The sequence below is a fragment of the Homo sapiens genome, chromosome 7 (assembly GCF_000001405.40).
Source record: "Homo sapiens chromosome 7, GRCh38.p14 Primary Assembly".
Classification (NCBI taxonomy): Eukaryota; Metazoa; Chordata; class Mammalia; order Primates; family Hominidae; genus Homo; species Homo sapiens.
The window spans coordinates 87,524,491-87,537,746 of NC_000007.14; the positions used below are offsets into that span (position 1 = coordinate 87,524,491).

Below are 13,256 nucleotides of genomic sequence, written 5' to 3' on the forward strand. Positions count from 1 at the left end.
ACCAAACACCGTATGTTCTCACTCATAGGTGGGAACTGAACAATGAGAACACATGGACACAGGAAGCGGAACATCACACACTGGGGCCTGTTGTGGGGTAGAGGGAAGGGGGGAGGGATAGCATTAGGAGATATACCTAATGTTAAATGACGAGTTGGTGGGTACAGCACACCAACATGGCACATGTATACATATGTAACTAACCTGCACGTTGTGTACATGTATCCTAAAACTTAAAGTATAATAAAAATAAAAAAATAAAATAAAAGCTGAAGTTTCACAAGCAAAAAAAAAAAGAAATATTTCTAATTATCAGAATTCTAACAAACAGGTTTTCTAGATTAGTAAGAAAATTCAACAGACTATAACAATGTCTGCTGAAAAACAGATTTTACTGTATATTTCAGTGTAATGGTTTTAAGAAATATTTTCTGTGCACCATGTTCTAAGGCAGGAGTGTCTGGTCTGAGATTGGTTTGTAAATGTCATTGCTTTTTAGTGTGTATATAGCCGAATAAAAGTGGGAGTTTGAGTCACAGACCTAAAAGTGGTGAGTAAAACAGTATAATAACTTCAGGACTGTCTTCATCTTGACGCACAATGAAGCAATTAGGAAAAGGCTTAATTAGCACCCCGCATCCTCACAGCTTTGTTTATTCCAAGAGTTTTAAATGGAGACTCAGTAATCACCATCAGGAGAGAGAATTTCTAATCCAAGAACAAATAGCATCGAGTTTCCCTCGGAAACTGTTGTGTACTAAATAATTTTGAAGAAATAAAAATGTATGTTTCTAGAAAGAAAAAATAGCCTCCTGACATTACTCTTCCTACCCTCAAATAAACAAGTTTATGGCTTTTATTTCTGAAAAGTAAAAAAGCATCTACAATGGAGCCTTGGACAACATGGGGGTTAGGGAGACTGACCCCTCGTGCAGTTGAAAATTCACATATAACTTCTGACTCCCCAGAAACTTAACTACTAATAGCCTGCTGTCAACCAGAAGTCTTACCAATAACATAAACAGTCAATTAACATGTATTTTGTATGTTATATGTAATACATATTTGTATTTTTATAATAAAGTAAGCTAGAGGGAAGAAAATGTTATTAAGAAAATCACAAGGAAGAGAAAATATATTTACTATTCATTAAGCGGAAGTGGATCATTTAAAGGTCTTTATCTTCATCATCTTTATATTGAATAGGCTAAGGAAAAGGAGGAAGAAGAGGGATTGGTCTTGCTGTCTCAGGGGTGGCAGAGGGGAAGAGGCAGAGGAAGTGGAAGGGGAGGCGGGAAAGGCAGGCACACCTGGTGTGACTGACATGCATTGTGGTCTCTGTCTGACTTTTTCCTTTTTTATTTCTCTAAAAATGTTTCAATATGGTACCAATCCTTCCTCCACTGTTTGCTTCAGTTTCAGTGCCTGTATCACAGAAGGGTCCATGTCATAAAAGAAGTTAAAAGCAGTCCTGAATAACCGAAACTCTTTTGCCAGATTGCGTAAAGTTAGTTTTCTGGCACTGCTTCTCCTATATCTTCTTCCGCATTGTTTGGCAGTGGTTTGGAAACACTCATCTTTATCAAGTCATCTTCTGTTAATTCCTCTGGTGTGATGTTTATTTGCTCTTGAGGTTCTCCAAAATCTATACCTTGAAAGCCTTCACCCACCACCTTTTTTTTTTTTTCATATCTCCTATTTCTTTTTGTGGTTTCCTTGATTGGCTCTGTCATAAATCCTGTGAAATCATGTACATCTGGACACAGTTTTCTCCAGCAGAAATTTATCGTTTTAGGATTACAGACTTGCATGATGTTCTTCTCTCTGGTGGCTCTCTACCATAGCATTAACAATCCTTTCTGTAGAGTACCATGTGCTTTGTGATGAGCCTTAAAAATCCTTATGAGTGGCGAGGCACAGTGGCTCCCACCTGTAATCCTAGCACTTTGGGAGACTAAGGCAGGAGGATCGCTTGAGCTCAGGAGTTCGAGACCAGCCCAGGCAACACAGTGAGACCTCATGTCTACAAAAAATTTATTAAAAAAAAAAAGATTCTTATAACCCCCTCATCTAAAGGCTGAATTAGAGACATGTTTAGGAGGCAAGCAGACCACTTCAATACCTTTGATGTTAAACTCATGGGTTCTGGGTGGCCAGGAGCATTGTCTAATATCAAAAGAACTTTAAAAGGCAGTCCGTTACTGTCTAAGTACTTTCTGACTTCAAGAACAAAGAAAGCATCAATGTAACCAATCCGGAAAAAGTGCTCTCATTGTCCATGCCTTCTTGTTGTACAACCAAAATACTGGCAGCTGAGGCTTATCTTTTCCCTTCAAGGATCAGGGATGAACAGCTTTACACATAAGAGCATATCTATAGATATGGACTCATCCTAAACCGGATTGCATTTATACAAAACAGTAGAGTTAGCCTACTCCTTTCTGACATAAATCCTTGGACTTGCTTCTCTTCCTTATTAATAAAAGTCCTTTGTGGCATTTTTTTTTTCTAAAATAGGGCACTTTCGACTGCATTAAAAACCTTTTCAGGCAGATATCCTTTCTTCTCAATGATTTTTTTTAATAGCATCTAGGAACATTTCTGCTGCCTCTTGATTGGCAGAAGCTCCTTCTCCTGCTATCTTGACATTTTTTTAAAGCCAAATATCTTTCTAAAATTATCAAACCATCCTTTGCTGGCATTAAATGACCCAGCTCTGATCCTTAATCTTACTTTTAATTTGAATTGACTTTGCTTTTCCTCTAATCATATTAGAGTCTATAGGTATGCCTTTCTCACAGCAATCCTGCACCCATGTGAAAGCTGCATTTTCAATATGAGATAAATGTATTGTACAAAAAGTGCAAGGTTTTTGCACCTGCTGTTGTAGCTGCAGTGATGGCTTTTACGAATTTTGTTTTTGTTTTGTTTTGTTTTCTTTTACAATGGTTCTTATGCTAGATTCATTTATCTTGAAATGGCAGGCAACTAACTGCAGCTGCAGACCTCACATCTATAGTATGTATCAAGCAGTTCAACTTTTTCCTGTAATGTCATGACTTTTCTCTGCTTGTTGGGAGCACTTCCAGCAACACTAGTGTCACTTGATATGGGTTCCCTGGTGTTATTTAATGTTTATGGTATTGCACTAAACATGATTTTTAAAATACGCAAGAATCATGAGAGATCACTTTTTATTGCAATATGCAATTTACTGGAGAGATGAACTGCTCCTGCTGAGATTGTTAGTGTCACTGCATTTTAAGCAGGTACAACACTTGAACTCACTGCAGTAGCAACAGGAAGTGGCTACAAAATTACTGGGGTAGTACAGTACATACTATGGTTTTATTTTATGATTTAACACTATGTATTAGTCTGTTCTCATGCTGCTAATAAAGACATGCCCAAGATTGGGTAATTTATAAAGGAAAGAGGTTTAATGGACTCACAGTTCCACATAGCTGGGGAGGCCTCACAATCATGGCGGAAGATGAAGGAAGAGCAGAGGGACATCTCACATGGCAGCAGGCAAGACAGCATATGCAGGGGAACTCCCCTTTATAAAATCATCAGATCTCATGAGACTTATTCACTATCATGAGAATAGCATGGGAAAAACCCACTCCCAGGATTCATTTACCTCCCACTGGGACCCTCCCATAACATGTGAAGATTATTACCATTCAAGGTGAGATTTGGATGAGGACACAGAGCCAAAACATGTAACACTGTATCTTTACAGTTGTTGACATGTGTCTTGACTGTGAATGGTGACTTATATGGTCTGTAAGTGTTTGTGTGCATAAAATTTGATCACTTTTAACTTTTTTTAATTATAGGTTTGTGTATATCTTATGGTAGTAAATAATAAGACGAGTAACTACATATATTTTATGCATTTATAACATACTTAACTTTTTCTTAATTTTTTGATATTTCTAGGCTACATGGCTTGTGAGTTTTTTCAAATTGTTGCAAGTCTTCAAAAAATTTTCCAATACATTTATTGAAAAAAACCTACATATAAGTGGACCCACTCAGTTCAAACCCGTGCTGTTCAAGGGTCACCTGTATTTTATAAAAATGCTCACTAGTCCACAATAATGTGCTGAAAAACTGCAGAGCACAGATCACAGGCAGGGTAGAGGTTATGAGCAGGTTTTGACATCATGCAGTCAGAATAAGTGTGGGCTCTAATGTCACATACACCATTAATCAATAAACAAATGGTACACCATTAACCAATAAACAAAGAAATAGGAAAGAAACATCAAGGGCTGCGAAGTATCATGAATTAATTCAGGTGTCAGGAATGGCCTCTCTGAAGAGGTAATAATTTTGGGATATGAATAACGTAAAGTCAGCCAAGAGAAGAGCAGAGGCAATCAGCTTAAAACATTCCAGGAATTGCAAGAATGCCCACTGGGCCAGGGCACACAGGCATAAGAGACTGTGATGCCAGATAAGGCCATAAAGGTCATCAGGAGTTAGATCATACAGAGTTTGGTAATCCATGATAAAAGATTAGATTTTGTTCCAAGTATGATCAGAAGCCATTTGGGAGTTTTAAGTAAGGGTTGGCATTATTAGATTTTTATTTATGAGAGGTCAGAATGACTTCTGTAAGAATGTAGACTATAGTTGGATAAGAATGGAAGAAGTTGAAGCAGGGAGATTGGTTAGGAGGCTGTTGCTGTGTGACTGTGAGCAAGTTACTTGATCTCTCTGAATCTTGGGTTTCATTATCTATCCAACAGGGATAATTCAACAGGGTTATTGACAGCATTAAATTAGATCAAGTATTTAGAGCTGTTAGAATGATACTTGTTATATAAGAAGTACTAAATAGCAGCTTGAGAAGTGTGTTCAGGTGGAAGTTGATTTTCAATATTATGTGGACTGGTTGGTGCAGATCCACTACTTTCCCTACCTACTTCTGTCCCTCTCATGAGCCACCCCTGAATTAGAAAATGTATCACATCCCTGACCTTTGCTCAGAAAATCTGCCATATCCACACATAATTCATTTCCATCTGCTCCCCTTCCTTTGGCCCCTCTGACAGAACTCCAAGAGTCTTAAATCTCATGTGTCACTTCAAAGGTGCTAACCTGTGGTTTGCATGAATTAGCTTAGGATCAGATTGTATCATCTTCTTCCTAAAAGCAATCTAAGACTCCCTTCTGGGACATTTCAAATACCTCATTAAATAATGACACTGTTAACTAGAATGCTTTCTCCTTTTTTTATATTTTGTCCTAGATTTTTCCATCTTCTCAGGGGAAGAGTCAACACCATGGGGGAGACCCCCAAAGTACAATATTAAAGGAAGTCATTGGCACAGAATGTATTCCCTGGCAGGGGCCAACGTTACTTGAGCCAGACCACAATAGAACCCTGTGGGTCAGCACCATCCTGATGTACCTCCAGAAATAGGCCTCCGGGAGCCTGATAGGATGCCTCGCATGAGGTTTGTCCCCTACAGACACTGGCTGGGGAGGTACTACAGCTGGCCCAAAAGATTTTCCAGAGGGAACCCCCCAAAAATGGGATAAAGAGTCTGAAGAGATAGCAGAGAGGTAAAGGACAAAGCATTAGTGGCAATGACCAACATCTGGGGCCTTCTTCATCATTCACTTGGTGAGGTAGCTGGGCCTACTGACAACCAGAGCCACTCTGATCTGTGTGAGTCCCTGCCCTAACTCCTGGGAATCTCAGAATGTTCATCACACATATATCCCTGTCCTAAATGTTAGTTATGGCAGTCAGCCCTGCTCTGACCTCTCATTTCCACTATGATACAGATCATGTGATATCAGACTGCATTCTGCCATCAGAGGAACTCTTTGTTTTATAACAGAAAGAGAAACAACTTTGGAGCACAACTGTCTGAGCTTGAATCCCAGCTCCAAGACCTATCAGCTCTAAAGTCCAGAGCCATGACCTGCCTGTGCCTCAGCCCCACTAGAAAAATGAGATAATAGACCCCATATGGTTGCTATAAGGAATAAGACATTTGCCTGGAAACACAGTAAATGCCACATAAGCATTTGTTAAATAATGGGAAAAAAAAGACAAGTATGCAGGGGAAAAAAAAGAAGTAAAAAAAGGGTAAAGATAAACAGAAATAGGATGAAGGGAGGAGCATGATAAAAAAAAAGAAAGAGTGGTAGTAATTTAAAACAGATATAATAAATACCCCTAGCATTTTTCCATATTTAATCTCCCCCCTCACATGTACAAATAAAATGGGCTTACTTTCCTCAATAAAGGAATGGATTTAAGCTTGAAAGAAAAGAAAGAAAGCAAGAAAGCAAGAAAGCAAGAAAGCAAGAAAGCAAGAAAGCAAGAAAGAAAGAAAGAAAGAAAGAAAGAAAGAAAGAAAAGAAAGAAAAAGAAAAGAAGGAAGAAGGGAAGGAAGGAAAAAAGGAAAGAAAAGAAGGAAAGAAGGAAGGAAGGAAAGAAGGAAGGAAGGAGTGGAGAGAGAGTGAAAGTGAGAGAAAAGAAAGAAGAAAATAACTAAGGGAAGGAGGAAAGTGGGGAGGAAGGAAGAACAGTGTGAAGACAATGGCCTGAAAACTGAAAAAGTCTGTTAAAGTTAATTATCAGTTTTTGAGTCCAAGAACTGGCTTTGCTACTTTCTGTAAGTTTCTAATTTACTGAATAAGCATGAAAAAGATTGCTTTGAGGAATGGTTATAAACACATTCTTAGAGCATAGTAAGCAGTAGGGAGTAACAAAATAACACTGATTAGAATACTTTACTCTACTTAATTAATCAATCATATTTAGTTTGACTCACCTTCCCAGAACCTTCTAGTTCTTTCTTATCTTTCAGTGCTTGTCCAGACAACATTTTCATTTCAACAACTCCTGCTATTGCAATGATGGGTACAATTGCTAAGAGTAACAGTGTTAGTTGCCAACCATAGATGAAGGATATAATTATTCCTGTCCCAAGATTTGCTATATTCTGGGTAATTACAGCAAGCCTGGAACCTATAGCCTGCAAAACAAAACAAATTAGAGAAATTTTAAAAATATTATCTTCACAACTCATGCTTCTATTTTCTGAAAACTCACCTTCATGAGACTATATTCATTATTTTATCAGTAATGAACTAAAAAGTAAAGGTCTACTTGTAAGTTTATTGAGTTTCTACAGTAAGAATTTCCATGACTTCAGAATGCTGAAAGTAGAATATCAACAATCTAGAGTTCAATTACATATTCCTATCTCTTTGGATCTTTTAATACCAAGAAAACCTTCATTAATCACGGCAACATTACTAAAGCAATATCTGCAAATTAGCAAGATAAAGGAGTCTGACAAACTAGGAATGATGGAAATTTCCAATGTTAGGTATATTATTATTTGTAATTTAAGCCTAACGTTTGTCATTAATAATATTCAAATATATCTGGGTCTGTTTGAGATATAATGTTTAATTTGGAAAAAATACAGAGCTGAAAATTATGGAATTTAATTTAAGATAGTAAGCGCGCATTATTATCTTCCCCTTGAATTCCAGAGGGAGTCTGAAGCATGACTTTCACTAGTGTGCACTGAGTTCCAGCTCTAAAGCCAGAAGTCAAACTGCAAAGTGAATTTAATCCACCACTGTATAATGTCCAACTGTAAACCAGATTTCCAACTCTGAAACCAAAAGTCAAGCTACAAAGTCAGTTTAGTCCATCACTCTATAATTTAGTCCAGCACATCTCCTCTACCCTGGAAATATTCTGTGCCCTCAAGCCATTCCAAATGCCTGCCCTGGCCCCAGACCTGCCTTTTCTGAAAAGGGGCTGGGTAAAATAAGGCTGAGATCTACTGGGCTACATTCCCAGGAGGTTAGGCATTCTAAGTCACAGGATGCGACAGGAGGTCAGCACAAGATACAGGTCGCTAAGACCTTGCTGATAAAACAAGCTGTGGTAAAGAAGCCAGCCAAATCCTACCAAAATCAAGATGGTGACAAAAGTGACCTCTGGTTGTTCTCACTGCTCATTATACGCTAATTATAATGTATTAGCATGCTCAAAGACACACCAGCGCCATGACAATTTACAAATGCCATGGCAACGTTACCCTATATGGTCTAAAAATGGGAGGAACCCTCAGTTCTGAGAAGAGCCCACCCCTTTTCCTAGGAAACTCATGAATAATCCACCCCTTGTTTAGCATGTAATCAAGAAGTAACAATAAGTATAAGCAGCTGAGCATCCCATGCTGCTGTTCTGCCTATGAAGTAGCTATTCTTAATTTTTTCACTTTCTTAATAAACTTGCTTTCACTTTACTCTGTGGATTCGCCTTGAATTCTTTCTTGTACAAGATCCAAGAACCCTCTTTCAAGGTCTGCATCGGGACCCCTTTCTAGTAACAATAGAATCCTTTATAATTCCCTACATTAATCCCTACAAAATCATTTAACACCTGTCTGATATAAACACCAGACTAGTATTTAGGAAAAGAGTGCTATAACTATCAGTAGCCTTTAAATACATTAAATTCCATACCATGGAGCTGCACCAGGGCTGAAAGAGGTATCATAAATAATAGAACACCTGTATATTTTGTTGATGCAATCATTGAGCTTATATTAAAGGGATGATTTGCCAAATTTGGGATAAATCAGACTGGAATGGTTTTCAAAGCCAGCTCTCTGCATTTCACATCTTTAGTTTGAAGGTCAAAGGATGCAAGCTGGAGAACGGCTGTGGCACAGGGATGATATAAGTTGCTCCTGTTCTCAGTATCTACAAGTTCTACTCAGAGCTCATTTCCCACTGCAGCTACTGACTTATGGGCTTGTGAGAGAAGCTCTTAGAATATCACCTAGAATCACTTCTAGGTGTGAGTTCATGGCAGAGGAATTACCTGGCTATTTAACTTTTCAGACATATAAATGTGCAGCTTTGGATAGTAGTGAAGGGCCACAGAAATAAATAAGATGGATCAAAGATGGCAAATTCTTTAATGTACCAAAAAGAGTAACTAAGAAGTCTAAGACCTTAAACTGCAAGGAGATTTAACCCCTCGGCTTCATTTGATTTAGCACTTCAGACATTACACTGATTACTATTCCTTTATTCTGAAGATTAACACTCACTGTCCTACATCTATTTCTACAGAGTAGGAGTCTATAGAAATATGGGGACTAAGAAGAATGGAAGAGCACAGATTAGTAGCCAGAAAATTTTCATTGTAAAGACTAGGGTTGAGGGGAGGAACTAAAACCCGTCAGCCAAAAACAGGTCAGCTAGTGGTGTAAAGTAGATCCAACAGTCCTCTCTCAGTCAATCTGTGATAACAGCTACATTGGGCTTTCCTAGGTTGACAATGTTTGCCAACCTGCTCATTTCCTCTTCCCTGGTCTTTCCTTTTTAGCCACTGTTTTAAGTTCTGGAAAACAGTTTTGCTTGAGTGGCTCATATAAGGTGAGTGCAGCCATCTTGGCAGGGCCAAGTTTGAGGTGTCTTTGAGGAAACAAGTGAAAAGCAGAAGGTTGACCCCAGCAGGCAATTAGAGACAGTGAATATGGCAAAGGGCCTCACAAACAGCACTATGGAGGGAAAAAGTGACCACCAATTTTACAAATATAGGAACTCACTGTGGCCTAAGGCAGGTCATAACACCAGAGGAATTTGAGAGGCAGGAAGAAAAACTGCAATACAGAATGCCCTGAATACATCTGCTCTGGGTTCTGCTGCAAAAGACTGAGTTGCCTCCAGGATTGTGTCTTCCACGTCAAATGTGATGCGGGATATTTGTCCATCAAAGCACATGAGCCCATACCACAGGGTCTGTGTCATATTGTGCAATGTCACATTGCACTGGTTACTGTTCCTTTATTCCAAAGACTAATGCTCACTGTCTCATGTATATTCCTCCTACAGAGTAGGAGTCTATAGAGTTGTGAGGACCAAAATGAATGGAGAAGCATAGTAAAACTTATTTAGTAAACCAATTATAAAAAAGGTTTACTAAAGTTAGCAGTGCAAATTTCAGCCTTCTTGACATCTACATATGGATGTCTAATACAGACGTCACAAACTTACCATGTCTCATACAGAACTCTCCATTCTCCCCCAAGCCTGCTTCTCCAACAGGCTTCTGAATTTCATAAAGATCAACTCCAGCTGGGCATGGCAGCTCACACCTGTAATCTCAACACTTTGGGAGGCTGAGGCAGGGAGGATCACTTGAGCCCAGGAGTTCAAGACCAGACTGGGCAACATAGGGAGACCCTGTCTCTACAAAAAATTTAAAAATTAGCTCGACATGGTGGTGCACACCTGTGGTCCCAGCTACCAGGAAGGCTGAGAAGGGAGGATTGCTTGAGCCCATGAGTTCTAGGTTATAGTGAGCTGTAATCATGCCACTGCAGTCTGGCCTGGGCTACAAAGAGAGACCCTGTCTCTTTAAAAAAAAAAAAAAAAAAAAAAACTCCATTTTTTTTTCCACTGTGCAGGTAAAAGAATTTGGAGTCATCTTTAAATACCCTTTCTCTCATATCCATCATCTTATCCAACCAACACATTGTTGGCTGTACATCTAAAATATATCCAGAATTAATTATATCTTATAGCCTTTTGTATAACCAAATTAGTCTAAAACACTATCATCTCCTCCTGGATTACTGCAACAGACTCCTTCTATGCTTGCCCCCTTCGGCCTATTCACACAGTTTCTATAGTGATCCTTTCAAAATTTCAGATCATGTCACTTCTGTGTTCAAAACCCTACAGTGGTTTTCCATCTACTTCTGGATATAATGCTGACCTTAACACACTTATGACTCTTCTTTTCACTCACTTTATTCCAGCCACTCTGTCTTCTTTGCATTTTTTTTTTTTTTGAGACATAGTCTTGCTTTGTCACCCAGGCTGGAGTGCAGTGGTGCAATCTCAGCTCTGCAACCTCCACCTCCTGAGTTCAAGTAATTCTCGTACCTCAGCCTCCCGAGTAGCTGGGATTACAGGCGTGCACCTGTAATTACATTCTATACAACTTGATCTAAACCTTGTTTTTATTGTTTTGTTTGCTTTAGGCAAAGAAGTTTGTATTAAAACAACAATTACTAAGAGGAGCTGGTACTATGCCTTCTGAAACTATTCCAAACAATAGAAAAAGAGGGACTCCTAAGGTTTATATTTCAACGTTATAACTCTATGTATTTCCTCATTTATAGCTTAATTTATTCTTAAAGAAGCCCCATATATTAGATAGAAGAAATGTTAGTATAGTACTAACTTACAGAAAAGATTTAAAGATAAAGATGGATAAGGTTCAAGAGGGGAAAAGACACACCAGAGATTACATGAATTTTTTCAAATTCTACATCATTTTGTGGACTTTTGCCATAAACAGTTGTAGAAGAAATTGTCACTTCAGCCAAAAATCAAAACCTGCTGGTTCAATAGTATCTAGTTATATCAAGAGATTCATACAGTAGCAAAATTTAAGTTATTAAAATTATTAAAGTTTAAAGTTATTAAAGATAAAGACTGAAGTTATTCTATTCTTGCCTTAATTTTTTAATGTGCTTTTCATTTCCTTCAACCTATATTTTAGAGGATTGTCTTCCCTCCCTTCTGTAACCATAGTGACTCTAAACTTTCTTACAGCAATTAAATACATCCTTTCTTCAGTAGCAATTACTGTTTTATGTTGATTGAGCACTTTATACTCTCTTTTCTAAATAACTATTCTACATGCATCTTGTTAATAGCATGAATAACAGCAATAGCAAATGGTTTATAAGTTATCTATATGCTCTACAGTATATAATGTTTAAATAGTTAACATGTTGCTACAAAAAGCATGTGATATATTCGTAGGTTAGATATTTATTCAACATTTTCTTAATGATGATAACTAACACCCGTAAGGAGAAAATTAGTTTCATGCTGGGGTCCAAAATGGCCAATTAAGACAAACACCAGTAGAAAGGAGGCACGTACCCCTTTAACTTGAGCAGCATCATTGGCGAGCCTGGTAGTCAATGCTCCAGTGGTGTTTTTAGGGTCATCAAACCAACTCACATCCTGTGGCACAGAAAATGATTTTATTACCTTAAAGCTGTTTATGAGACTCTCAGCTCCAAGAGGGCAGCGATGGGGTCAGTTTTGTTTATACTTATACCCCCTGCATTTAGTACTCAGGATGTGACATTCAATACACAAGAAAGAAACTTAATATAAAAACACATAAATAGATCATTTCATTTGTCAGAAAAATTTCTGAGTGCCTACTTTCTCCTACGCATGATTTCTAAGTGTTGGACCTGTACGAACAAAAAAGACAAAGTAGCTGCTTTCATGAAGTTTAGATTCTAGAGATGGAAGGTACAAATAAAAGAAAAATTGAGCAGGGTAAGAAGAACAGAAAAGTGAGGGGAGGTGCTATTTTAGAGACTGGGGAGGGGAAACAGAAGGCCTTTCTAAGGGGACATCTGAACAGAGGCCTGAATGAAGGAAAGGATGAGAATACCTCAGGGAAAGCAGAAACAGCATGTGCAAAGACCCTGAGGCAAAGGCATACCTAATCTGTTCATACACCAGCAAGAAAGCCTTAAAGGCTGCCAGCAGCCTAAAAAGAACCTTTGTATGAATTTGTAAAAGCCACCCCCTTCCTCTGGACAGATTTGTGTTCTGATTTGGCTCCTCTGATCCTCCCCTCCCCTACTCTTGGGCAGTGAGCCACTGTTTATGGAGTAGACGGTGTATTGGAAAAAGGCGGTTATAGGAGATGAGATTTGAGAGAGAGTGGGGGCCACATAGTGTATGGTCTTACAGGCGACTGTCAAGATTCCAGACTTTACCCTGTGAGCTACAGGCAGCCTTCAGCAGGTTTGGGCAGTGGGATATGATTTGATTTCTATTTTAGAAAAATGACTGTGGCTGTTTTTAGGTGAATCTACAGGATTGGGATAAAAATGGAGGTAGGGAGATCAGTTAGGAAGCTTTTGCAATGTTAACAGAAAGAGAAGAGTCAAAGATGGCTTCAAGGTTTTTAGCCCAAACAACTAGTAGAACGGAGCTGTCGCTTACTGATATAGGGGAAGAGTGGGTAAGGAATAAGGCTGGTGGGGAGGGGAAGAGTCAAAAGCTCCATTTTGGAAATGTTAAACAGTGAAACTCTTATTAGACATCCAATAGAGAGGTTGAATAAGCAGTTAGATAAATGTAGCTCAGGGCAGTATAAGTGATTTGAGTCAAAAACAAATCAGCAAAAGTAATCCAGATTAAAA

General features: G+C 38.5%; 1 protein-coding gene across 4 annotated transcripts in view; it reads right to left on the bottom strand.

Annotated features, from left to right (window-relative positions):
* Positions 1-13,256, bottom strand: part of ABCB1 (ATP binding cassette subfamily B member 1) — a 210,279-nt gene that overhangs the window by 21,474 nt on the left and 175,549 nt on the right. For all 4 annotated transcript variants that reach the window (NM_001348944.2, NM_000927.5, NM_001348945.2 and 1 more), the window contains 2 exons: positions 11,968-12,051; positions 6,804-7,007 (listed from right to left, as the gene is read on the bottom strand). In NM_001348944.2, coding sequence (NP_001335873.1) covers positions 6,804-7,007; positions 11,968-12,051 — 288 coding nt within the window. The remainder of the gene's footprint in view (positions 1-6,803; positions 7,008-11,967; positions 12,052-13,256) is intronic.